The 27,545-nt window shown below is 45.9% G+C and overlaps 4 non-coding genes and 1 pseudogene across 6 annotated transcripts in view, besides 3 other annotated features; 2 read left to right on the forward strand and 3 right to left on the reverse strand.

Annotated features, from left to right (window-relative positions):
* The window catches only part of ZNF767P (zinc finger family member 767, pseudogene), a 77,637-nt pseudogene that overhangs the window by 28,525 nt on the left and 21,567 nt on the right, over nt 1-27,545 (reverse strand). The gene's annotated exons all lie outside the window — the stretch shown is intronic.
* Nucleotides 9,047-9,118, forward strand: TRC-GCA15-1 (tRNA-Cys (anticodon GCA) 15-1). The gene has a single exon. It is a non-coding gene; the product is annotated as a tRNA-Cys (tRNA).
* Nucleotides 13,395-13,466, reverse strand: TRC-GCA3-1 (tRNA-Cys (anticodon GCA) 3-1). The gene has a single exon. It is a non-coding gene; the product is annotated as a tRNA-Cys (tRNA).
* On the reverse strand, nt 19,536-19,607 carry TRC-GCA23-1 (tRNA-Cys (anticodon GCA) 23-1). The gene has a single exon. It is a non-coding gene; the product is annotated as a tRNA-Cys (tRNA).
* Nucleotides 22,277-22,348, forward strand: TRC-GCA20-1 (tRNA-Cys (anticodon GCA) 20-1). Its single transcript has one exon. It is a non-coding gene; the product is annotated as a tRNA-Cys (tRNA).
* Nucleotides 24,287-24,487: a silencer, noted in NCBI's record as "peak6839 fragment used in MPRA reporter construct". NCBI's record gives its function as "represses an SCP1 promoter by STARR-seq MPRAs in K562 erythroleukemia cells {active_cell/tissue: K562}" and the evidence as "EXISTENCE:reporter gene assay evidence [ECO:0000049][PMID:32103011]".
* Nucleotides 24,927-25,127: a silencer, noted in NCBI's record as "peak6840 fragment used in MPRA reporter construct". NCBI's record gives its function as "represses an SCP1 promoter by STARR-seq MPRAs in K562 erythroleukemia cells {active_cell/tissue: K562}" and the evidence as "EXISTENCE:reporter gene assay evidence [ECO:0000049][PMID:32103011]".
* Nucleotides 25,236-25,395: an enhancer, noted in NCBI's record as "active region_26817". NCBI's record gives its function as "activates an Ori minimal core promoter by ATAC-STARR-seq in GM12878 lymphoblastoid cells {active_cell/tissue: GM12878}" and the evidence as "EXISTENCE:reporter gene assay evidence [ECO:0000049][PMID:35858748]".

The following is a 27,545-nucleotide window of genomic DNA, read 5'->3' on the forward strand; positions in this document are numbered from 1 at the left end:
AAGTTGCTTATCAGTGTAAGGAGATTTTTGGCTGAGACGATGGGGTTTTCTAAATATACAATCATGTCATCTGCAAACAGGGACAATTTGACTTCCTCTTTTCCTAATTGAATACCCTTTATTTCTTTCTCCTGCCTGATTGCCCTGGCCAGAACTTCCAACACTATGTTGAATAGGAGTGGTGAGAGAGGGCATCCCTGACTTGTGCCAGTTTTCAAAGGGAATGCTTCCAGTTTTTGCCCATTCAGTATGATATTGGCTGTGGGTTTGTCATAAATAGCTCTTATTGAGATATGTCCCATTAATACCTAATTTATTGAGAGTTTTTAGCATGAAGGGCTGTTGAATTTTGTCAAAGGCCTTTTCTGCATCTATTGAGATAACCATGTGGTTTTTGTCTTTGGTTCTGCTTATGTGCTGGATTACGTTTACTGTTTTGCGTATGTTGAACCAGCCTTGCATCGCAGGGATGAAGCCCACTTGATCATGGTGGATAAGCGTTTTGATGTGCTGCTGGATTCAGTTTGCCAGTATTTTATTGAGGATTTTTGCATCAATATTCATCAGGGATATTGGTCTAAAATTCTCTTTTTTTGTTGTGTCTCTGTCAGGCTTTGGTATCAGGATGATGCTGGCCTCATAAAATGAGTTAGGGAGGACTCTCTTTTTCTATTGATTGGAATAGTTTCAGAAAGAATGGTACCAGCTCCTCCTTGTACATCTGGTAGAATTCGGCTGTGAATCCATCTGGTCCTGGACTTTTTTGGGTTGGCAAGCTATTAATTATTGCCTCAATTTCAGAGGTTGTTATTGGTCAATTCAGAGATTCAACTTCTTCCTGGTTTAGTCTTGGGAGGGTGTATGTGTCCAGGAATTTATCCATTTCTTCTAGATTTTCTAGTTTATTTGCGTAGAGATGTTTACAGTATTCTCTGATGGTAGTTTGTATTTCTGTGGGATTGGTGGTGATATCCCCTTTATCATTTTTTATTCCATCTATTTGATTCTTCTCTCTTTTCTTCTTTATTAGTCTTGCTAGCGGTCTATCCATTTTGTTGATCTTTTCAAAAAACCACCTCCTGGATTCATTGATTTTTTGAAGGGCTTTTTGTGTCTCTATCTCCTTCAATTCTGCTCTGATCTTAGTTATTTCTTGCCTTCTGCTAGCTTTTGAATGTGTTTGCTCTTGCTTCTCTAGTTCTTTTAATTGTGATGTTAGGGTGTCAATTTTTGATCTTTCCTGCTTTCTCCTGTGGGCATTTAGTACTATAAATTTCTCTCTACACACTGCTTTAAATGTGTCCCAGAGATTCTGGTATGTTGTGCTTTTGGTCTCATTGATTTCAAAGAACATCTTTATTTCTGCCTTCATTTTGTTATGTACCCAGTAGTCATTCAGGAGCAGGTTGTTCAGTTTCCATGTAGTTGAGCAGTTTTGAGTGAGTTTCTTAATCCTGCGTTCTAGTTTGATTGCACTGTGGTCTGAGAGACAGTTTGTTATAATTTCTGTTCTTTTACATTTGCTAAGTGCTTTACTTCCAACTATGTGGTCAATTTTGGAATAAGTGTCATGTGGTGCTGAGAAGAATGTATATTCTGTTGATTTCGGGTGGAGAGTTCTGTAGATGTCTATTAGGTCTGCTTGGTGCAGAGCTGAGTTCAATTCCTGGATATCCTTGTTAACTTTCTGTCTCGTTGATCTGTCTAATGTTGACAGTGGGGTGTTAAAGTCTCCCATTATTATTGTGTGGGAGTCTAAGTCTCTTTGTAGGTCTCTAAGGACTTGCTTTATGAATCTGGGTGCTCCTGTATTGGGTGCATATATATTTAGGATAGTTAGCTCTTCTTGTTGAATTGATCCCTTTACCACTATGTAATGGCCTTCTTTGTCTCTTTTGAATTTTGTTGGTTTAAAGTCTGCTTTATCAGAGACTAGGATTGCAAACCCTGCCTTTTTTTTTGTTTTCCATTTACTTGGTAGATCTTCCTCCATCCCTTTATTTTGAGCCTATGTGTGTCTCTGCACGTCAGATGGGTCTCTTGAATACAGCACACTGATGGGTCTTGACTCTTTATCCAATTTGCCAGTCTGTGTCTTTTAATTGGAGCATTTAGCCCATTTACATTTAAGGTTAATACTGTTATGTGTGAATTTGATCCTGTCATTATGATGTCAGTTGGTTATTTTGCTCGTTAGTTGATGCAATTTCTTCCCAGCATCGATGGTCTTTATAATGTGGCATGTTTTTGCAGTGGCTGGTACCAGTTGTTCCTTTCCATGTTTAGTGCTTCCTTCAGGAGCTCTTGTAGGGCAGGCTTGGTGGTGACAAAATCTCTCAGCATTTGCTTGTCTGTAAAGGATTTTATTTCCCCTTCACTTATGAAGCTTAGTTTGGCTGGATATGAAATTCTCGGTTGAAAAGTCTTTTCTTTAAGAATGTTGAATATTGGCCCCCACTCTCTTCTGGCTTGCAGAGTTTCTGCCGAGAGATCTGTTGTTAGTCTGATGGGCTTCCCTTTGTGGGTAACCCGATCTTTCTCTCTGGCTGCCCTTAACATTTTTTCCTTCATTTCAACTTCGGTGAATCTGACAATTATGTGTCTTGGAGTTGTTCTTCTCAAGGAGTATCTTTGTGGCATTCTCTGTATTTCCTGATTTTGAATGTTGGCCTGCCTTGCTAGGCTGGGGAAGTTCTCCTGGATAATATTCTGCACAGTGTTTTCCAACTTGGTTCCATTCTCTCTGTCACTTTCGGGTACACCAATCAGACGTAGATTCGGTCTTTTCACATAGTTCCGTATTTCTTGGGGGCTTTGTTCATTTCTTTTTACTCTTTTTTCTCTAAACTTCTCTTCTTGCTTCATTTCATTCATTGGATCTTCAATCACTGATACCCTTTCTTACAGTTGATTGAATCGGCTACTGAAGCTTGTGCATTCGTCACGTAGTTCTTGTGCCATGGTTTTCAGCTCCATGAGGTCATTGAAGAACTTCTCTACACTGGTTATTCTAGTTAGCCATTCGTCTAATCTTTTTCCAAGGTTTTTAGCTTCTTTGCGATGGGTTTGAACTTCCTCCCTTAGCTCGGAGAAGTCTGATCATCTGAAACCTTCTTCTCTCAACTTGTCAAAGTCATTCTCCATCCAGCTTCGTTCCGTTGCTGGCAAGGAGCTGCGTTCCTTTGGAGGGGGAGTAGTGTTCTGATTTTAAAAATTTTCACCTTTTCTGCTCTGTTTTTTCCCCATCTTTGTTGTTTTATCTACTTTTGGTCTTTGTTGATGGTGACGTACAGATGGGGTTTTGGTGTGGATGTCCTTTCTGTTAGTTTTCCTTCTAACAGTCAAGCCCCTCAGCTGCAGGTCTGTTGGAGTTTGCTGGAGGTCCACTCTAGACCCTGTTTGCCTGGGTAAAACCAGCGGAGGCTGCAGAAGAGCCAATATTGCTGAACAGCAAATGTTGCTCCCTGATCACTCCTCTGGAAGCTTCATCTCAGAGGGGTACCTGGCCGTGTGAGGTGTCAGTCAGCCCCTACTGGAGGGTGCCTCCCAGTTAGGCTACTCAGGGGTCAGGGACCTACATGAGGGGGCAGTCTGTCCATTCTCAGATCTCAAACTCCGTGCTGGGAGAACCACTGCTCACTTCAAAGCTGTCAGACAGGGACATTTAAGTCTGCAGAGGTTTCTGCTACCTTTTATTTGGCTATGCCCTGCCCCCAGAGGTGGAGTCTACAGAGGCAAGCAGGCCTCCTTGAGCTGCGGTGGGCTCCACCCAGTTCGAGCTTCCCAGCTGCTTTGTTTACCTACTCAAGCCTCAGCAATGGTGGGCGCCCCTACCCCAGCCTCGCTGCCGCCTTGCAGATCGATCTCGGACTGCTGTGCTAGCAATGAGCGAGGCTCCGTGGGCGTGGGGCCCTCCGAGCCAGGTGCGGGATATAATCTCCTGGTGTGCCGTTTGCTAAGACCGTTGGAAAAGCGCAGTATTGGGGTGGGAGTGACCCGATTTTCCAGGTGGCGTCTGTCACCGCTTCCCTTGGCTAGGAAAGGGAATTCCCTGACCCCTTGAGCTTCCCAGGTGAGGCGATGCCTCAACCTGCTTTGGCTCATGCTCGGTGGGCTGCACCCACTGTCCTGCCCCCACTGTCCAACAAGCCCCAGTGAGATGAACCCGGTACCTCAGATGGAAATGCAGAAATCACCAGTCTTCTGTGTTGCTCACGCTGGGAGCTGTAGACTGGAGCTGTTCCTATTTGGCCATCTTGGAACCGCCCCCCACTACGACATTTTAAATAGGTGTCTACGTTTTAACTTCTTCCTTATTAGACACTAGGGTAAAGGTTTCATTATTTTCTGAAATCAGCAAATGCTGAGGCTAGAAAGTGGTGGTTCTTAACCCCAGATATAAATTAGAATCACTTGAAGAGTCCATGAAAGTGCCATTTCCCAGGCCTCACACCAGACCAATTAAATCAGAGCATCCAGGGTGGGGCCCAGGCATGATAAAAGCTCCCAGGAGGCTCTAGACTGTAGCAAAGGGCAAGACCCCACTTTAGCAGAGCTTCCAAGAAGCCTCCGTAGCCCAAGTCTCCCTGTTCCCACTCTGCCTCTTCTTATTCATCCTTAGGTGAACCCCAAATATCTAGAGAAAGGTCTCCATTAATTATGAAAGTGTATTTTGCCAAGGACGCAGATGCGTGTCTGTGACACTGACTCAGGGCGTCCTGACAACCTGTTCCAAAGGTGGTAGGGGCACAGCTTGGTTTTATACATTTTAGGGACACATGAGCTATTAATCAATACGTGTAAGATGTACACTCGTTCCATCCAGAAAGGTGGGACAACACCAGGCGAAGGTGGGACAACTGGAAGCTGGGAGGGGGCTTCCAGGTCATAGGTAGAGAAGAGACAAAAGGTTGCACTCTTTTGCATTTCTGATGAGCCTCTCTAAAGGAGGCAATCTGATAGAGATTTATCTCATAATCAGAGGGGTGACTTTGAATAAAATGGGAGGCAGGTTTGCCCTAAGCAGGTCTCAGCTGGACTTTTCCATTTAGCTTAGTGATTTGGGGCCCCCAAGATTGAATTTCATTTCACACTTATGTAGACAGCACTTAAAACTGGACCAGAGGCCGGGCGCAGTGGCTCACACCTGTAATCCCAGCACTTTGGGTGGCCAAGGCGGGCAGATCACGAGGTCAGGACATCGAGATCATCCTGGCTAACACGGTGAAACCTCGTCTGTACTAAAAATACAAAAAATTAGCCAGGCGTGGGGGTGGGTGGCTGTAGTCCCAGCTACTCAGGAGGCTGAGGCAGGAGAATGGCGTGAACCCGGGAGGCGGAGCTTGCAGTGAGCCAAGATCATGCCACTGCACTCCAGCCTGGGCGACAGAGTGAGACTGCGTCTCAAAAAACCAAAACCAAAACCAAAACCAAAACCAAAACCAAAACCAAAACCAAAACCAAAAACAAAACGAAACAAAACAAAAAAACTGGACCAGAACAGCATCTTCCAGGAACAAAGGCTGTTTCAACATTTCCTAGTTGTCTTAATTTTTCCCTTGCCTGATCCAGACATTCTCTCTGGGATGGGGTGGTATTGGTCTTCTATTTCCAAGACAAACCACCAGGATCTATAGCTCAATCAGTAAGCCCTTATAAGGCCAAGACAGTTTGCAGAGGATGAAATGTCAACATGTTAAAGTGTAAGTAAAGTTCTACGTTGTGTTCAGATGTTCCAATTATCAACGGCAATTTTACATCATAGTTAAGCTTTAAAGGTGAACTTCTGCAGAAGGGATCACTGAATTACATCAACCATCTCAAAAACTAGAGGATGTCATGGCGTTCTATGCTTTAGAGAACAAACAGCTTTTTTGACACAAATCTTAAAATTCATAGAGGTTCAACTATACAGCATAGAATTCTGAAGCACAATTCATGATTTTTAGTATCCCTTATACTAATCATGTTTTATGAACCTTTTTAAAAACTACCTTATATTTAATAATTCTTCAGATTTATATAAACAACATAAGTTTATACTTTAGATAGGTTGAAAACATGTTCTGGTAATAAAAGTATTTGAAAGCAGCAAAGTCTTACTATCTTTACATTGAATGGCAGGAAAACACAACAGAGAAGCAGGCACTGAAGACAGAGCCTGGTCAAGTGTAGTGTCACTTGAGGCTCTGTCTAATTTGATCATTTTGCAAATGACACTTTGCTCTACTCCTCTGAGTTGAAAATATTCTGCATCCTGTGACTCTCCTTATTAGTATAAGATGTATGGCCTGAAAAACAGAACTTCTTTTATTTTCAATGATATGTTTCATAATTTCTTACTCATTAAAGCGGATTCTTTTAACAAGAGATGTGAACTTTTTATTTAGTATTTTTTTCCCTCCAAAAAGTGGCACTGGTAACTCAAACGATAAATGCTAGAGGGGATGGATACCCCATTCCCCATGGTGAGCTTATTTCACATTGCATGCCTGTTTCCCAATAGCTCATGTACCCCATCAATATATACCACTATGTACCTACAAAAACTTAAATTTTTAAGAGGTAGCTTTTGCTGTTTCAGTTCCACACTTAGAGCTTTGGCCTAGAACTTGGGTACTTGCCCCTTTCCTGTCCCTGCCCTCCAATACCTTCTGTTAGTAGAAATGGTCTCTTGGGGCAGCCTCCTTCCTGTATCCCCATTACTGTTTCAGCTCCTCTACCCAAGCCCGCCAGCCCTCCAGCTACTCTATAAACAGTCTTCTTCCACCTTAACCTTGCCCTGCAAGTCTGCCTTTTTATGACTCCTTGTACATTTGAAGGCCAGCTTTCCCCTAAAGCCATCCCTCCCCTTCAACTCCCAGAACAGAGGGTGGGGTCACCTTCTCAGTCACATTCTCCATGTTGCCCCCAAGCCCCAGCTCCTCCGCCATCCCTCCCTGCTTCCCTCTCTCAAAGACATCTCCTTCCACCACTCTCTCACCATTCATGTCTTCTCTGATATTTTACACTCCAGAAACATTGGACATTTTTAGAACCAGACTAACAAACCTATTTTCCTCACCGCCCTCTCCTTTTGTCCTCAGGAATGTCAAACACCACGACAGAATAACAATCCTATTTTCCTCACCACCTTCTCCTTTTGTCCCCAGGAATGTCAAACACCATGACAATGTGCTTCCAATGCTAAGGACTTCCAGTGCTAAGAGATTTCCATCTTCACAGCTCTACAAATGTTCACAAACTCTACTCACTGCAGCTCTCAAGGTGTGTGGTGAGACAGAGATTCAGCATTTTCCACCAGTGTCTTCTACCCTGCTTCTTGGTTATCAGCTGGGCACATGGCTTCCCCAAAGGAAAACTGCATTTCCCAGACCCTCTTGGAGCTGTGAGGCCACAGGCATAAGGCTGGTCAATGAGATGCAGGTGAAAGTGATGGATGTCCTTACAGGAAAGACTTGTCTTTTCCATCTTCCTGCTGCCTGGGAGGTTGATGAGATGCTAATGTGGGTGATGTCATGCTGGAATGAAAGCCAAGCCGGCCAGACAGCCAGAAAGAAGAACTTGAGTTCTTGACCCTATGGAAAGCCATGCCTGGACCACCTAACTGTGGACTTTTAAGTGGCAGATAAGGAAGCTTCTGGTTTGTTTGCTGCTTCTGGTTTTACTTTAATCGTTCAGTATTCATAGCCAAATGTGATCATTGCTCAAACTATTCTCTTTCAAGATCTTAGAATCAGAAAGTACTTTAATGACACCACTTCTGATGTTTACCTGTTCTCCTTACTGTGACTCTCTGCTAATAAGCAATAATTCTGTTCCTTTCTAATTCACCTTTTCTCCGTTTCCCACCATGCCTGGTTCACGCTTTGCCCTTCTTCCCAAGTAATGATTCCCACCCTACCTCCTTTATTCTCTTTGGATGACCTGTTTTCTACCTGACTGAGAAGACCAAGATATAGAGTTCCCTGAGCATCCTCTGCTTCTCTGCATCTTCACCTTCTCCTCAACCCCTCCAGGGTAAGAGAGAAAGCCTGGTTTTAACCAATTCCCTGCCAATGGATATTTTGATGGTCTCCAGTGTTTGCTGTGAGGAATTAAAAAACCGCTATCATGAATCTCCACATACATGTGTCTTCATGCAATTATAGGAATATTTTTGAAGGATAAATTACCACAAGTGATACTCTGTAGAGAATCATCTTTTCTATGTTTTCTTTTTTTTTTTGTTTTTATTTTAGGTTCAGGGGTACATATGCAGGTTTGTCATATAGGTAAGCTCATGTCATGTAGGCTTGGTGTACAGATTATTTCATCAGCCACGTACTATGCATATGTATTTTTTCTGATCTTCTCTCCTTCCACCATCCACCCTCAAGTAGGTGCCAGTGTGTGGCATTCCCCTCTCTGTGTCCATGTGTTCTCATCATTTAGTTCCCACTTGTAAGTGAGAACATGCATTATTTGATTTTCTGTTCCTGTGTTAGTGGCTAAGGCTAATGCCCTTACAGGTCCATCCATGTTGCTCCAAAGGAAATGATCTCATTCTTTTTTATGGCTGCGTAGTATTCCACAGTGAATATGTGCCACATTTTTAAAAGACTAAGTATTATTTTTTGAGTATTTTTTTTTAACAAAAGCAATTTGCTTTTCCCTTGACAAATTATCATGAACAGTATTCTACGTCAAATACAAGTCTCCAGACACAGGCTCTGGTTTCCTTTCAGTGCTGGAGAAGGTGGTGTCACCTAGTTAGAGTTCCATCCCCAGCCTAGCACACCTCACATGATGCTCAACAATTGCTACTGTCTAAGAGAATTATCTGGATGACTTGAAGGGTCTCTCCATTTATAAAGCTCAACAAGGCTACCAGGGTGTCCTTAACCAGGTACACACAAAAGTGATGGAGAAAGAAGTATCAGTGACAGGAGGGAGGCCAGAATTCAGAGAAACAACCGGCGTAGACATCCAAGCCGGAAGAGCTCGGTCTTGCTCTTGCTGTGCTGACACATGAAAAGGGTGTTAATTACACTGTCTACCTATGACTGGGGGTATAGCTCAGGGGTAGAGCATTTGACTGCAGATCAAGAGGTCTCTGGTTCAAATCCAGGTGCCCCCTACACTGTTCTACTTTTTAATCACCAAAGTGGGTCCTGGGTCATAAGCTCCACCCAATCCACCCTGCAAAAAAAATGACACAGCCTATCTAATCTCTGACCCACAGCATCTCTGAAGTGCAGACTCAATAGCCCTCAGGTGATTTCATGGGTTTTAAAGTTTGTAAGGCACATCTGTCTCCTGCAGCCCTCTGGATACCACTCCAGGACTTTTGCAGAGTTCTCCAGAATCTCCCCAGGCACATCCATGTGATTCCCAAGAGAGGGCTGGGCCATGTCTCTAAGTCCTGCTGTATTCTCCACAGCACCCAGCTTCCACTGTGGCACAGGAGAACCTGAACCAGCCACAGTTTCATGCCCGCCTCCAACAGGTATGAGAAATCTAATGAGCTTAGATTTCTAAGTGTGCTGCACCCTGGACTTTGGCTCTGGGCCCTCAGGTTCTGGATTTCCCATCTGGGGCTGCTGCAGACTCACACCCTGGCCTACCCAGACCAAGGACTGGGGAAAAGCAGGATTCTGGGAGGCTCTGTGAGACTGTGGGCAAGGAGCGAGATGATAGAGGAAGTCAGCTGGGACTACCCAGAGGACTGACCTGATCCCATCAACCTCTTCTCTCTCCTCCATGCAGACAGATACAGATCATGGGCTCCAGCAAGGGAAAGGAAGCTGGTGTCAGATTCCAAAATCAGTAAATAAAAATAAGAATCCGTAAAGGGCACCCTGATTGGAACCTTTTGGTCTGTCCCCTAAGGCTCATCTCATTATTATGTGATGAAAACCTTGCAGTCTGTAGCCTTTTGGGTGAGAGGAGCACACCATGGGTAGTAACTGTGGTCTCTCGAGCCCCCTCTGATGGTGGTGGTAGCTGAACAAAGCAAGATGCAGGATGTGGTCTTTTCTGGAATATTCTGATGTTCCCAAAAATACCAAACCTCCAGGAGCTTCACAGATGCAGCAGAGCCACCAATAATCCCCAATTATGTGGATATTTCCCACTCCTCAGTGCAGTTTCCAGGCAAATGGCTGAAGGGGCTATTATGGGAAATCTGGCAGGAGGATTCACTGTCCATGACTGGGTATTTTGGCAGAGTACTTTTCTCAAGCTTGGCTTTCTCGTCATCAGGGGAGGCAGGTTCTTTGAGCAGATTCAGACCTGGGGAATGGGTCAGAGGCCAGGAACCTCCATTGTGCCGGCTATGGTGGTAGCTCAGGTCTACACGTCTAGGGGACCATGATGGGCTCCCCATTGTCAGGCCTAGAATCCTCCCACTGATGAGTCACAGCCAAGACCTGTGTGGCAGAGACCATGGAATAACATTCTGTGGTAAAGTGTCCACTGCTTGGCCTCTGACACCCTACGATCCTCCTAGCCCCACTGAAATCAGGAGCTTCCTTTCCGCTATCATCACTCCCACCAGCATTTTTGTCTACAGAGAACAGCTACCAGGATTCTTTTCATGAATGTAGAAGCTCCACACACCTAGGTATTTTTCAAGCCAGGGCAAGTCACGTGTGATAAATCCACTCCAGCTTACCTACCCCCTGAAGCCAATGTATTCTTTCTACATTATAGCAAGAAATTCCTAGTATCTCAAATGCATTTAGAATTGGCCTCCTGTGGCTGGGCGCGGTGGCTCATGCCTGTAATCCCAGCACTTTGGGATGCCGAGGCGGGCAGATCACGAGGTCAGGAGATCGAGACCATGCTGGCTAACATGGTGAAACCCCGTCTCTACTAAAATTACAAAAAATAAGCCGGGCATGGTGGCGGGCCCCTGTAGTCCCAGCTACTCGGGAGGCTGAGGCAGGAGAATGGCGTGAACCCGGGAGGCAGAGCTTGCAGTGAGCCGAGATCGCGCCACTGCACTCCAGCCTGGGAGACAGAGCGTGACTCCGTCTCAAAAAAAAAAAAAAAAAAAGAATTGGCCTTCTGTGAATCCAGGCTTAGGTCCACCAACTGAGCAAACAGGTTTATCCCAGCTGCTCCAGCTATGGTATCTTAAATAGAATTTTAATTGGGAACACTCCTAATAAAAAAATTCAGACTCATTTAAAGTTATACCCTTTCTACTTTATAAAGTATTCCAAGAATCTACATCCACACATGCTCTTTAAGTTTTTGCTGACAGACATTAGCCAGTTGGAAATGATTTTGGTGTGTGAGTCTTTGCCTCCCAGCAACTGGTGCCCAGGCTCAACTGAGATCTTACTCTCACTGTAAGTCAAGGGACAATGAGGATGGGGAAACCAATCTCTTGCAGTGAAAACCCTTCCATCTGGGCTGGTCGGCTTTTGCGGGAAGAAGGGGCAGGCTTGGAGATTAGGGAGAGCTGGTGATTTGGGATAAACTGAGTTTTCCAAATGCTTCCATAAACCTACCTTAAAATTCCTGAAGTTCCACTCTCTTAATCACTGACCTATTTTCAGCTGGGAGACCGGGGGAAGCTGCAGATTCCATGGACATCAAAGTTTGGTAAGCCACAGGGATCAGACTTGGCTTTCATTTTCACCTAGTTCAGTTATTCGGGGGCAGGAGATCAGAGAGTTTTGTTATACAGTCAGAAAAAGCCCTGTGTTTTCAGTCCATGGGAATGGATCATACAGGGTGACAAGTGAGCTACTTGCTTTGTTTAAACTGGTAGGACCAGTCATCCTGCCCAGAGGCCACTTATAAACTGGGAACTACAAATTGGTCCTGATGGGACTGCAGGCAAAGTTACTCAACTTTTCTACAGCCTGATATGGGCTTCTGGATTTCTATCCCCTCAAACTGCGTAGATTTTCATTACCTTCAAGTTTAATGAGGCCAGATTCCCAATCCACATTCCCTTTATGTTTCTGTAATCATTTATTATACATCCCTGGTACCAGCAAGGGCACTTTGATTAAAGAAGACATCATCTAAGGTGAGTGGAGACACAGAGGGCAATTGCTGACAGGATGGCGAGGAGCTCACGCACTTCAGAGAAGCCTGCAGAGCCAGGCTCATCAAACAGGCAGGACCTCAGCCCACCCTGGCTAGGGAGCCACCACTGCCACCACAACAGACACTAGCTGCAGCCTCTGGCCCTACTGCCATTGCCAGAGCTCTGCCATCTCCAGAATGAATTCCAAATTCACCCCGCCTCCATGTATGATTTAATCAACATTCATAGTCTTGTTTAGGGGAATATAATTGGCTAAACTGAAGCCATTACCAATTGTGCTGGTTAATTTTACATGTCAGCAGGGCACAGTGGCTCATGCCTGTAATTCCAGCAGTTTGGTAGGCTGAGGCACGTGGATCGCTTAAGCCCAGAAGTTTGAGACCAGCCTGGGCAACATGGCAGAATCCCATCTCTACAAAAAATACAAAAATTAGCTGGGCGTGGTGGTGCACACCTGTGGTCCCAGCTACTCTGGAGGTTGGGGTAGGAGGATCTCTTGAGCCCAGAAGACGAAGGTTGCAGTGAGTGGAGATAGTGCCACTGCACTCCAGCTTGGGTGACAGAGGGAGCTTCTGTCTGCCTCAACAGTTTTTTTTTTTTTCTTTAAATGTGTCAACTTGGCTAGGCCATGCTGGCCAGATGTTTGTCCATACCAATCTGGATGTTGCTGTGAAAGTATTTTTTAGATGTGATTAACATTCAATCTATAGACTTTGACTAAAGCAGATTACCCTCCAAAATGTGAGTGGGCCTCATGCGATCAGATGAAAACCTTATGAGGAAATATCTGCTGTCCCCCAAGAAAGGAATTTTGCCTCCATGCTGTCTTCAGGCTGGAGCTGCAACCTCAACTCTTCCCTGCTTCTCCAGATTGCTGCCATGCCCTGAAGACATCACACTTGCCAGCCCCCACAATGGCATGATCCAGTTCCTAAAAATCTGTCTATGTACACACACGTGCACACGTGCACACACACACAAGCCCCTATTGGTTCTATTTTCTCTGAGGAACCCTGATTCACACACCAACGTTCAGGGAGACAACATATCTGACCTTGTATTTTCCTTGACCAGAAACAGGATCCTGTCTTCCACCAAGACTTACACAATTGTGAATTCCCCAAATGAAGAGGGTTGAGATGTGCAAGAAAAAAAGAGTTCTCCCCAGACCTGTGGACAATGACAGCCTTCTAGAAACTGGGTTTCTCTACAGCTTCTGGTGTCAGGTGAGGCTTTCTAGTGAAGACCTGACCTGCCTCCTCTCTCTCCTGCTTTGCAGAATGAATCCATGTGTTGAAGAAAGGCTAGGAATAGAACATCATATCATGTTCAGTGAGTGAAAACAGGGAGGGGGCACCTGGATTTGAACCAGGGACCTCTTGATCTGCAGTCAAGTGCTCTACCCCTGAGCTATACCCCCATTTGACTACCTATCTCTAATAACTACTATAAACCTGTATGGCCATATCCTGTCACCGTCATGAGATGTGTACTTGCTTTGCCATGATACACCCCCTTCCCACTCCACACCTGCCTGCTAGCTCTACTTACAACCAGCATCCTTCTTCCTCCAGTGTGTGACTGAAGGCAGGGACATTAAAATCACTGAGGTTTGCAGCCAAAACATCCTTCAGACTCGCCTAGAACAGAGGGACTCAAAAGAATTGGTTGTTCAGCAGACCCGCTGGAGGTGAGGATGGGCTGGGCTGGGCAGGGCAGGGCAGAGCTGGGTAAAATCGAAAGTTCTTGGGCCCCACTTGAGGACTCCTAAGCCAGACTCTCTGGGAAGGGACCTAGGGACATGTGTGCTTCTAAAAAACCTGCAACATTCTAACTCATGGTTTGGAGATACTCGTTTAATCTGTTCCCTTCCATGGTATAGATCTGGAAAAAATGACAGTAATTAAAATCATACCCAAACAAAACACACCTGATTAATGACCAAGTCAAGACTAGAATCCACATTCATGATAAAGGGCCTCTTTGCACTGAACACTCTGAGGCAGGAGTTGAACTGCCTTTTCCTTTCCTCTTTTCCATTTGCTGAATCCCACAATGTGTCAGATAAAAGTAGTGACCAGAAGACAGGATCCAATCCATGGAAAGTGGAGAAGTGGAGAATCAGAGAAATCTGTGGTCACTGGGACATGACACAGGACGGAGTGACTGCAAACACATGGGCAGAGTGAAAGGAAGGGCCAATACGTGACACCATCTTGAAACAGGGACTACTTGATATGCAGCCAGATGCTCTGCCCTCAAAATATGCCCTCTCAACTGTTTAGACTTTCCTGATTGACACTGTTTCACCTATGTTCCCACGCCCAAGGATCTAATAGACATTGTAATTTCTCATCATTTTCAGTGAACCACTGGCAACTGACCTCCTTCAGACAGACCTCTATCTGGCTTTGAACTTACCCTGTCCTTCCCTATGGACCTATCAGAGGACTTCTAGAAATCTTTCCTGCCTAGAATCCTGCAGCCTCCTCCTCAGTCCCTGTGTGGGGCAACAATTTGGAGAACTGCTGTTTAGAGCTGGAAGCTTCCTCTCTCCTTCTCTCCTGCTTTAGTTTTATCTTCTTTAACCTACATCCCATACTCCCTCTCCACTTCACTTTCACCCTCTGCACAGTGGGGTACTTTGGGCCTTGGCCTACATTTTTTCGACTGTCTTCTCTTCTTCCCTCTCCTCACTTACTAGTCCTTCCCTTTAAAAGGGAGACACCACCTTAACAGAGGGGACCCAGCCCCATGCTAGCTCCAAACCATTAGCTCAGCACAACTGGCAGAGCCAGGACCAGGCACAAAGGCTGGCTATTTGAGCCCTGAAGCTCAGGCCTCCAGTGTCCCCTGTATTAGGACCAGGATCTCTCCCCCATTAGGTTGGCAGAAATGTAATTATAGAAACTGGGCAAAGATGTACGGAAACAGGTTCCTCATAGCTGCTGGAGCACCCGGTGGCACTGGGGTACTTCTGGGGACAGCAATATGGCAATGGCAGAGATGAAATCAAGCAAGCCTATGATATGGTGAGGCCACCGCTGGGTCTGTTTTCTGGAGTAGCATCCCAACAGGGGCACAAAGAGACAGGCCCAAGAACGCTCACTACGGTATTGCTTGTGTGAAAAATCAGAAAAAGCTTAAGTGCCAATCAGTGGAGGAATGGAAAATAAGTTACAATATAGTTGCTTCTGGAATATTAAGCATCTGTTAAAAGGAATGAACTTGATCTACATGTATCAACATGGATAAGTCTGAAATACAGAATAATGAGTGATAAATATAATAACATCCATGTAATTTTTCAAAACACAAAAAACCATATAATATACTGTTTACAACTACAAATGCACATGGCAGATGTTTTAAAATGTGGATAGAGGCCAGGCGCAGTGATTCAACGCCTGTAATCCAGCACTTTGGGAGGGTGATGCAGGCGGATCATGAGGTCAGGAGATCGAGACTATCCTGGCTAACACGGTAAAACCCCGTCTGTACTAAAAATACAAATATTTGCCAGTCGTGGTGGTACACGCCTGTAGTCCCAGCTACTCAGGAGGCTGAGCTAGGAGGATCGCTTGAACCTGGGAGGCAGAGGTTGAGGTTGAGCCGAGATCACGCCACTGCACTCCAGCCTGGGTGACAGAGTGAGACTCTGTGTCAAATTAAAAAAAAAAAAAAAAGTGGATAGAAAGGATAAACACAGACAATTCAGGACAAGTGGTTGCTCCAGGGAGGCATGGGAGACCTTAAAAGAAATTTAAATGGTATCAGAAATCCATTATTTCACACACACACATCACACACACTTTTTAAATTATGAAGCATGGCATACATTCAGCAAATAATTATTGAATTCCTACTCTGTGTTAGGCAATATTCTAGGTGCCTAGAATGATTATATGAAGAAAACAGATTAAAAATTTTTGTACTTTTGAAATTGACATTCTAATGGGGAAGACCTGACATACGATGAATCTATAAATAGGAAACATACATATACATGATGCTGTCTGACAGGCAAGACCCAAAGCAGGAAAGCAGGTCCAGTGTCCTGGGTGACGAGAAGATAGGGAAGGTCTGCAGAAGCAGCAAAAAGACGAGGCCTGAGACCCAAAGGCAGGGTCTCTAGAGAAGGAGTGAAGCTGGCAGAAGCGCAATCATGAGGGGCAAGGACCCTGTCCCCGGTGGGCCTGGGCTCAGAGGGAGGCAAGGAAGAGGATGACAAACACTCAGAGGGCTGCAGTCCCCTGGAGCTCAGCCCGAGCAGGGAACGCTCAGGACCTGGCAGGTCTGCTAAGCCCTGAGTCCGATAAGGCTCAGTGGAGGGATGTGCAGGAGGTGAGGAGAAGGGGAGGTGAGGTCTCACAGGGGGATGGGCCAGGCCAGATGTGGCGAGGGATGAGCTGGGAGTCCTGGCTTCTCAGACAGAGGACAGAGATAAAGGCCACACAGGATCCCTGCCAACAGGCTCAGGATGGACAGTGCAGTTTGTGTCTACTCATCTTGTCTACTGGTGGGTAGAAGCCAAGGATGCTGCTGAACATCGTATGATGCAGACAGAGAGTGCTGTGGAGTCTTACCATCTACTACCATATTTCCAGACCCCTCTTTACTCTAATTTAACAATGGTGTGAATGCGAGGGAAGCCTCCATACACAATGTAAATACAATGAAACCCAGTCACCCACAACTTCCCACCCAGCCTAGGAAGCTGGATGCACCTGGATTGTAACCTATTGCAGCCCAAAAGTATCTGTTCTCGACCATCTTTATGTCCTCTAGCACTCAGCACTGTCCTTGACACCTAGAAGATTCTCAAAATGCATCTGTAGAACTAAACTGTCAATGTCCTGATGACGACTGGCAAAGCGGCCAGCCCGGAACATGCTTCTGCCCTTAGGGAAGTGCAAACCTGACTGAGATGAGATGACGGACATGGGGGATGCATTTAATTTCACACAAGTGGCGCACAGGAGGGCCTCTGCGGAACACCACCTTTCTCAGTGTCAGACGAAAGGGAAAACCAAAGTAGGTGGGACGGTCAAGGGCGGGTCTTCTGGAAGAATCAGGGGTCGAGCCTTGCAGAGATGTGGTCTCCCTAGTCAAATGACCCAGCAGGTCTCCACTTCAGAAATTTGGTTTTTCTCGTGTCCACCCGTCCTTCCCTTAACTTTCAAAGGTGCTGACTGGCTCCAGGGAAATCTGAGACACTGATATCTGGTAACCAGATTCACCTTAAATAAATGTGTGCTTTTAATCATACCGAACCATAAGGCTGACCAATGGGTTTATGTTCTACAACTGCTACAGGTTTAAATTAAGGTTAAGGCCAGCCGCGGTGGCTCACACCTGTAATCCCAGCACTTTGGGTGGCCGAGGCGAGCGGATGGCCTGAGGTCAGGAGTTGAAATCCAGCCTGGCCAACATGGTGAAACCTCATCTCTATAAAAACACAAAACTCAGCTGGGCATGATGGCGAGTACCCGTAATTCCAGCTACTGAGGAAGCTGAGGCAGGAGAATAGCTTGAACTCGGGAGGTGAAGGTTACAGTGAGCCGATAACGCGCCACTGTACTCCAGCCTGGATGACAGAGCGAGACTCTGTCTCAAATAAACAAATTAATTAATTCATCAATTAACGTTAGTCATCGGAGGCAAGGTGGACTCTTTGCAAAGCTTTGAATTAACTTTGTCTTCAATCCACAGCTGCCCCTTGAACAACATGGGTTTGAACTACGCAGACCCACTTATAAGTGAATTTCCTTCTCCTCTGCGACCTGAGACAGCAAGAACAACCCCTCATCCTCCTCCTCAGCCTACTCAATCTGAAGCTAATGATGAGGATGATGACCTTTACTATGACTCACTTCCACTTAAAGAGTAATAAACATATTTTCTTTTCCTTATGATTTTCTTAATAAAAAGTTTCTCTAGCTTATTGTAAATATATAATATATAATACATAGAGCATACAATATACATGTTATTGATTATTCATATTGTCAATAAGGCTTCTAGTCAATAGGAGACTATCACTAGTTAACTTTTTGGAGAGTCAAAAGTTAGATGTAGACCTTCCGCTGCATGGGATTGGGGGCTTGCACCCCTGGCCCCTGTGTTGTTCAAGGGTCAACCATGCTCCTGCCTTCCCTCTCAGTGTCCTCCTCTTCCTCCCCTCATCCTGTGCCCTGCCTTTGTCTCTTCCTAAAAGATTAGGTTTGCCACTTGTTTCCCTGATAGAAAGTGTTCGGTTCTGGAGCATTAGCTGAGTAAGTAGCAGTCAGGGCCACTTGAGTGGCCAGAAGTGCCAGGAAGACAAAGAGAGAAAGAGGCTTTTTCCTTCCTTGCAGCTTCGAGGGCTACAAGCAGAGCCATGTCTTCCACTGTGCCTCACACAACTGGGGATCCTCAAAATGTGGACAGAGGGTTCACAGGGTGGGGAAGAATAGGAAGAAAAACAAAAAAGAAAACACAAGAGAAATGCTCACCAAAGCAAAGCAAGACAAGACTGAATCAGGCGTGCAGAGCAGATCTGGGCAGGTCACGTGGGGCAGCAGGAAAGTAGAGAGGAGCATGGGACAAACCAACCTCCTTACCCTCTCGTCCTCTTTGCAGGAAGAGTCAGGTGCAGGGGCCTCAGGAGGTGAAACGAAACTATTTTTGAATACTCTGGTCAGTATGGGAAGAAATTAGTGTAGGTAGGGAACACATGAATTTGAGTCAGGGACCTGTGGATCATCAATCAAATGCTTTACTCAAAAACAACTACTGAAGCCTGAGTACACTTTAATTCTGAACTTCAATGCAGGGAGTCGAGTAATCACTCATGGCCTGCCACCACCCCTAGCTGACTGTGCCATTGCAATTGGTCACCCTCCTACCATGCCCACAGCTTCATTCTGACATCCCCCACCTTCCCACACTCTCCCACCTCTACATACCTGGCCACTTGCCTATGCCTGCAGCTCAGCACCCTACATGCCCTCAGTGATGGACTGAAGGCAGGCACTAGCTTGAACATCACTGATGCTTCCCACTGGGATGTTGTTTAGAATGACAAGTTGTTGTAAGTTCCAAAACAATTTTCCAGCCACTTGGAATTATTGGATGTTAGAACAGGTATTAACAGGGGATTATGCCCCAGACAACCCCCAAAAGTAGAAGTTCTCTGATTCCTCCTCAGTCCTACTAAATTGGAATTTCTAGGAAGTAATCTGTATCTTTGACATGTTCTGTCAGTAATGCTGATGCAAAGTCAGACTACATAACCTCTAATTCAGGCTGTCCTGCCATAATATAAACTTCAAAGAAGAGCAGCTAATTAGAACTTTTGAAGCACATGCAGATTATTACTGACTTGATCATGACTTGTGCCAGAAAAATGAAGTCATGAGAAAACTGACACGAACTATAGGAAGAACAGTGGTGAGGATGACTAGCAAGCTCAACATCAGGAAAAGAGAACCCACAGGTAAGTGGCAGCAGGGAGTAACCGGATTTGAACCGGGGACCTCTTGATCTGCAGTCAAATGCTCTACCTGTGAGCTATACCCCCTTGCCTGGTGGACATTCCTCCTTAGCATATTTCACCTGTGTTGCCACACCCAAGGATTCTACAGTGCACTATAAATTGTATTCATTCCCAGCCAGCTTATGGAAACTGGCAACTCTACCACAACTGACTAGAGACCGCCCTTCTGGTCATGAGTTCACCCCTCCATTTCCCAGAGACCCTTCACTGGTCTAATGGTACTTTCCTACTCTGTAGCCACAACCTGAACTCCTTCAACTATCTCCTCCCATTCCCTTACTCAGTACCTGATGGGAATAGGGGATGAGGGTTGGGGGAGAGGCAGGTGTAAGAATCAAGGCTGTATTAGTCAGCTATTTCCACAACAATGTGTCACAACAAATCATCCCAAAATTAGGCTGTATGAAACCATAAGCATGTCTCGTGCTGATAGGTCAGCAGCATGGATGCCAATCAGCTGATGTAGGCTGGGTCTGCTTCAAGCTGTGGGTCCATCTGTGCTTGGTTTCTGTCTGAGCCGGGCTCAAGTTTGCTCCATGTGTGTTCCTTCCACAATCCCAGCTGGAGGAGTAGCAGCTAGCAAGGGGACACTCTTCTGGTGGTGACAGCAGAAATGCAAAGGGGGAGGCCCAACTATGCAAGCAGCTTTCAAGCCTCTGTTTGCATCACATGTGCTAACATCTCATTGATCAAATCAAGTCAGAGAAGCAAGCCCTAACTCAAGAGCAGGGAAGCATGTTCCACCTCTAGTGGGAAGATCTGCAAAGTCTCATGGTGAAGGTCACAGATGCAAAAATAAGTGAAGATCCAGGGCCACTTCCAAGTGGTTCACTTGTGCCTTGTAACCCCTGAGCCCCCAAGGCCGGTTGTTTCCTGCTTGCCTTCAAATGGAGGGATTAATCTGATCAGGCCCAACTGCCCTGCTTGCTTTTTGTTGTTATTATTTCCCTATTTCCACGAAGCTGAAGGCCACCGTACCTGAAAGCCTCAATGCTCAATGCAGAAACTTAACTTTCATGGGAGGCTTTATAGAACTTACGTAGGTCACATGGTGATGGTCACTTCAGTTGTTTTTCAGGCACTTGGGCCAGCTCCTGTCCAGCTAAAACTGGTTTAGACAACTGACTCTTCAACTGGTCTGAGCAAGTGCCTGAGAGGTGGCCTTTTGATATAAGAGGGCCAAAAATCTCACCCTCAAATCATGCTAATGCCACAATTTTCTGTGGATATGTCCTGTGAAATGTCATGGCATGTACCTGGAGTCCCAGCTATAGAGCAGGCTAAGGTGGGATGGCTTGAGGCTGTAGTGAGCTATGATCATGCCACTGCATTTCAGCCTGCGTGACAGAGCAACACCTTGTCTCAAAAGAAAAAAAAGAGAAGGAAGAAGGGAAGGAGGGAGGGAGTGAAAGAAGGGAAAGAAAGAGAAATAGAGAAATGCCTTTGGTCTTTGATGTTGGTAACCTTCAGATGGGGTTTTTGTGTGGTCGTCCTTTTCGTTTATTTGATGCTATTGCTTTCTGTTTGTTAGTTTTCCTTCTAACAGTCAGGCCCCTCTTCTGCAGGTCTGCTAAGAGTTTGCTGGTGGTCCACTCCAGACACTGTTTTCCTGGGTATCACCAGCAGAGGCTGCAGAACAGCAAAGACTGCTGACTGCTCCTTCCTCTGGAAGCTTCGTCTCAGAGGGGCACACGCCAGATGCCAGCCAGCGCTCTCCTACATGAGGTGTCTGTTGATCCCTGCTGGGAGGTGTCTCCCCATCAGGAGGCACGGGGGTCAGGAACCCACTTGAGGAGGCAGTCTGTCCCTTAGCAGAGCTTGAGCACTGTGCTGGGAGATCCACTGCTCTCTTCAGAGCCGGCAGGCAGAAAAGTTTAAGTCTGATGAAGCTGTGCCCACAGCCACCCCTTTCCCCCAGGTGCTCTGTCCCAGGGATATGGGAGTTTTATCTACAAGGCCCTGAATGAGGCTACTGCCTTTCTTTCAGAGATACCCTGCCCAGAGAGGAGGAATCTAGAAAGGCAGTCTGGCTACGGAGGCTTTGTGGCGCTGTGGTGGGCTCCAACCAGTCCAAACTTCTGATAAATTATAAAAATATATGTAACGTTAAAAACAGCCATGCACTGGGAATGGAGGTGTAGTTCAGGGTAGAGCTTTCCACACTAGCAGCGGAGTTTTCTGGCCAAAACCTGGAGGAGCTGTGTGGTCCTCATGCTATGTTGTCTCCATGATGCTTCCCAGGACTACTCTCTGATCCATGTCAGGGCCTAGGAACTCCCCCAACTTCACCAAGTCTTTCATGAACTGGATTTAATGCAAAGATCCCAGACTGAGAGATATCTATATATGTCAGTACTGCATGTGTCTCAATTTGTGTCTCCAAACTGCTATTTTGTAGTGTAAACAAGAAGACATCAAACATGGAGACCTAAAGGCTGTTCCAGCAGTAAACGGAAACACTCCTCTCAGCTGCTCCTGTCACCACGGACTGAGGGAAAGCGGGGAGATTGTGCAGGCATGTGAGCAGGGGCCAGGGTTTGGCAACTGGGGATGGACTTTTCTGGGGTGAGTTTGTGGTAAAATCAGTTGCTGGTCTTACTCTCTAAAAGTAAGCAGGAACTTTCAATGTGCTGTAGGACTCCTGGGTGCGATTACCAACATGAAAAGTGGTTATTAGACACTTATGACAAGCAGGGCGTATAGCTCAGGGGTAGAGCATTTGACTGCAGATCAAGAGGTCCCCAGTTCAAATCTGGGTGCCCCCTACTGCACTTTTTCTATTCATACAAGCTGTTATATTCTTCACAGAAGCTGTTGGTCACATTCCAGTTTCTTTTCATCCATTCCACCTATGATTTTCCCTGGAACTGGAAGCTACAGCTCAGGCCTACCCAGCTGCAACCTGGCTGGATAACTTCTCCCAGCACCAGTTCCACGGGTATCCCTCATATTCTTGGTATTCTTGGTATCTAGCTCCCTGCTCCCCCTATAGATGTAATTTCTCAAGCTGTGATGCAGTATGCTTCTGGGTTTTTCCAGGGCAGACCAGAGAGTAGTACTGCAGCAGGCTCCCCAGAAACAGATGGGGAATGGTACCCCAAGTTATCACTCTCCTGGCTCCTTCCCACAGCAGCAGTTTGGTGCACTGGAGTGGTGGCCAGACCTGGGGAGACACATCACAGCACACAGCATTCCCATGGAGGGCAGATGTTTCCCCTGGAGAATTGCTCCCACGCAGGGCTCACTCACACCCTTGCTTCAACCTTATAGGCCAAAAGCCTGGCTCAGCTACTCTAACAAGGGAGACAGAGGCTCTGCAGTGCTGCCCCTACGACCAAACTCCTGTAGCTCTGCGGCTGCACGTGAATTACAGCCCACTCTGTGACTGTGGCCCAAGGCTTGGAGGTGGGGGATTAGACTCAAGAGTCTGTTCGTATGAGATGATTGGGAATTCCAACTTTGTTCTGTGGGCCACAGGGAGTCCTGTGTGCTGCAATGAAGAACCAGTGAGGTCCTTTGTCTAAGGAGGTCATTTAGGAGACATTACAGATACTGGTTTGGAGTTTGCCAAAAGACAAGAACAGGAACTGGTGTTATTTTTTTAATGCTTACTATGCCCTACTATGTGCTAATATCATGCTAGGCAGTTTATCATCAGTTATCATATTTGTCCACTCTGTCTTCACTGCAGGAAAAAGGGAGCCGGGCTGGGAGCTTGGGTTAGTCTGTGGACTGTTTTGGACACCAGTGGCCAGCTCTTGGGTTAACCCCAAAAAACAATGGGAAATGGCTCTGAGTTCTGCAGACAGCCTCCATCCTTTTCTCCTGCTCATGGCTCCACCCAGAGACAGACCTGGTGAACTGCAGAGCTGAGGGAAGGTGTCTAGCTGTGAATCAGGTCTGGCAGCTTCCAGAAAGTCAGTCCTGGAGGGAAGCCATCATTTAATTTTACAAAGCTGAGTGTTCCCATACTGATAAAAGGTACTAACTAGGTAACCTCAGTGTGCCATGGGGGTAAAGCTCTGGGCTAGAGCTTTTGACTGTAGAGCAAGAGGTCCCTCGCTCAGATCCAGGTTCTCCATTCTTTATGTTCAATGTTGGTAGATAACTTTATCCACATACAACTTAGACTGGCATAGGCCACACAGAGGGTAGGGTCACCTTCTCAGTCTCATTCTCCACGTTGCCCCCAAACAACAGCTCCTCCACTATCCCTCCACGCTTCTCCTCTCTCAAAACCATCTCCTTCCACCACTCTCTCCTCTCACCATTCATGTCTTCTCTGACATATGGGACTCCACAAACAGTGGACACTTTTAGAACCAGGCTAACAATCTTATTTTCCTCACCGCCCTCTCCTTCTGTCCTCAGGAATGTCAAACACCATGGCAATGTGCGTCCAATGCTAAGGCCTCCAGAGATTTCCATCCTGCTGCCTCTACGAATGTTCACAAACTCCACTCACTGAGGCTCTCAAGGGGTGTGGTGAGGCAGAGTCAGCGTTTTCCACTAGTGTCTTTTACCCTGCTTCTTGAGGCAGGAGAATCGCTTGAACCCAGGAGGCAGAGGTTGCAGTAAGCCGAGATCTTGCCATTGCACTCCAGCCAGGGCAACAAGAGCAAAACTCCGTCCCCCAAGCAAAAAAAAAAAAAAAAAAAAAAAAACCAACCAAACAAAAAAAAACACAAAACTTTCCCTTACCACAACTTCCTCAAACATAGTTTACTCTGACACCTGTATAACCACTGCCAATGCTCGTTCCCTAATTAAGTTACATTACTTTTCAGAGAGATTCTGCCTGTTATTTAGATTGACACCACCTTTTATTGGCTTCTTTGCTTTCTCTGTCTGACTTCCCACTCCCTACTGGTGTTTCCTGAACTTATCTTCCAAATAAACTACCTGCTCTTACATTTTAGTTTCAGAGTCTCTTTCTAAAGAAATCTAAACTAAGACAACAGATTAAAGGAGAAAAATCACGTCATTCAAATAGATGAAGAAAAACATCCAATCAAATCCAACACACCTTCGTGATTCAAAAAAAATTCTTGGAAGCGAGGATAAATATTCTACCTTCTTAATATGTCACTAGCTGTCTACCTGAAATATAAAAAGAAATATTATTTAACGGTGGGGTCGTGAAAGCTTTAAATTGAAAAATGAAAGAAAGACAAATATGCTCTTAAAGGGAAATGGAAACTGAATTGAGGAGCAAAAGACTCTAAAAAAATCACCAAATATATTTTTTAAATGAATCAACTAAGACATTCCAGAAATGAAAAAAAGTATCAACATCTTCCTTTTTATTTACTTTTAACTGAAATATAACTAACAATAAGGTATAGAAATCTTTAACGTACAGCTCAATTAATTTGTACACATACACACAAATGTACCCACCTCCTAAATCAAGATATAGAAGACTGAAAGGAATGCTGCTATGAACAAGAATCTTGCATGTACACAGACACACTCTACTCTCCGTATCTAGGAATACAATTGTTGAGGAAGTGGGTGTTTCTATTTTTGGCTTTAGCCAGTAAGGTCGGACGGTTTTCTAAAGTGGTTCCAGCAAATCACACTACCACTAGCAGGGGATGAGAGTTACTATGGCTCCACGTACCATCACTGAGTAACATCAGTCTCTTTCATTTTAACCAACCTAGCAACAATTCTAGCAATAGTTCACTGCGGTTTAACTTGCACCTTTCTTTTCTTTTCGTTTTGAGATGGAGTTTCGCTCTCGTTGCCCAGGCTGGAGTACAGTGGCACGATCTTGGCTCGCCACAACCTCCGCTTCCCGGGTTCAAGCAATGCTCCTACCTCAGCTTCCTGAGTGGCTGGGATTACAGGCATGCGCCACCAAGCCTGGCTAATTTTGTATTTTTAGTAGAGATGGGGTTTCTCCATGTTGGTCAGGCTGGTCTTGAACTCCCGACCTCAGGTGATCCGGCCGCCTCGGCCTCCCCAAGTGCTGGGATTACAGGTGTGAGCCACCGCGCCCGGCCTAATTTGCACCTTTCTAGACTCATGAGGTTTGAGCATCTTTTCATAGGCTTATTGGTCGCTTGGATGTCCTCTTCTGTGAAGTGACTGCTCAAGTCTCTTCTTCATTTTTCTACTAAGTTGTCCATTTTTTAATTGTCTTGTGCAATACTTTATATATTTTGGGAATAAACCCTTCATCACTTATGTGCAACAGATACCTTCTCCTGCCATGTGGGTTCTTATTCTCTTACTTGTGTTTATTGGCTCTCATGAATGTTAGCTGATTTCTCTGTGAGCTTTTTATCTGTTCAGCAAACGGTATATAGAATTTACTACCTGCCAGTCCTGTTTTATGTGCTTTACGCAGATTAACTCATTCAATCTACACAACAATCCATGAAACATACGCTCTTTTTTTTTTTTTTTTGAGATGGAATCTCGATTTGTTGCCCAGGCTGGAGAGCAGCTGCGCGATCTGGACTCACTGCAACCTCCACGTTCCTATTTTAAGCGATTCTCCTGCCTCAGCCTCCCGAGTAGCTGAGATTATAGGTGCCCGCCACCACACCCGGCTAATTTTTGTATTTTTAGTAGAGACGGGGTTTCACCACATTGGCCAGGCTGGTCTCCAACTCCTGACCTGGTGATCTGCCCACCTCAGCCACCCAAAGTGCTGGGATTACAGGAATGAGCCACTGCGCCCGGCCACTGCTTAGCCCTTCTCGTATCCTGCCTTAGTGCAAGACTGTCTCCTTCCTGATTCCTCACCATGGGTGGGGCCTAAGACTTCTTCTTGGAAATGCCCATTCATCATTGTACTACTGACATCCGGGCCTCCAGAATCCAGCGATGTCCAGGGTCTTCTGCGACTTCCTGGACTTCGCTCTTGTTGCCCAGGCTGGAGTGTGATGGCGCGATCTTGGCTCACCGCAACCTCCGCCTCACGGGTTTAAGCAATTCTCCTGCCTCAGCCTCCCGAGTAGCTGGGATTACAGGCAAGAGTCACCAGGCCCGGCTAATTTTGTATTTTCAGTAGAGATGGGGTTTCTCCATGTTGCTCGGGCCGGTCTCAAACTCCCGACCTCAGGTGATCTGCCTGCCAGGCTGCTGCCCAGGCCCTGCCAGTGGGGAGTTCTGTGCTCTTGCAGGCTCATCAATCCTCCGCATCTTCCTTGGCAGTCCACCCTACTGCCGAAAAGGGAAACCCAGAGGATTTTAACGTTATCATATAAATCACTGCGGAAGTCAGTGTTTCCCGAGGCTGTCAGGCCAGGAGCGGAGAGGAGTGGCTGGCTGCTGGCTGCCTTCTGAGAAGGTGCCCAGGGCTACAAGGCAAAGGCCTGTGGGTAAAGGAGAAAATTCCAGCAGGAAAGAAAGGCAGTTTGAAGAAGAGACAGTTTACCAGCTCCTATGACAAGAGCAGAGGCGGGGCCTTGGCACAGCTGAGGAGGTGAAAAGGAGTTAACCCAAGTGTTCCTCCAAGTCTTCCTTCTAGAAAGGACAGGGTTCTGCCTGCCATCAGGAAGGTCACGTGGGAGGCTGGACACAGTGGCTCATGTCTCTCATCCCAGCACTTTGGGAGGTCAAGGCAGGAGGATCGCTTGAGACCAGGAGTTTAAGACCAGCCTGGGCAACATAGTGAGACTTCACCTCTACAAAAAATAAAATACATTAGCTGGGTATGATGGTACACACCTGTGGTCCCACCTACTTGGGAAGCTGAAGTGAGCTATAATTGTTTCACTGCACTCCACTCTGGATGACAGGAAAACACCCTGTTACTTAAAGACAAAAATGAATCAAGTGGGGTTGTTGTCTAGCAACATATTCTGGTCCTTGAAACTATGTTAACGCTGGCCCTCTTAAGGCTTTCGGGGATTCCAAAATCTACTCAGCTACCGCCTTCTCACTATTTCTTGGAGTCGCTCCTTCTCTATCATTCTCCATTAATATTAATTGAAGAAGTGAAAGCTG

Source organism: Homo sapiens, chromosome 7 (genome assembly GCF_000001405.40).
Source record: "Homo sapiens chromosome 7, GRCh38.p14 Primary Assembly".
NCBI classification, from domain to species: Eukaryota; Metazoa; Chordata; class Mammalia; order Primates; family Hominidae; genus Homo; species Homo sapiens.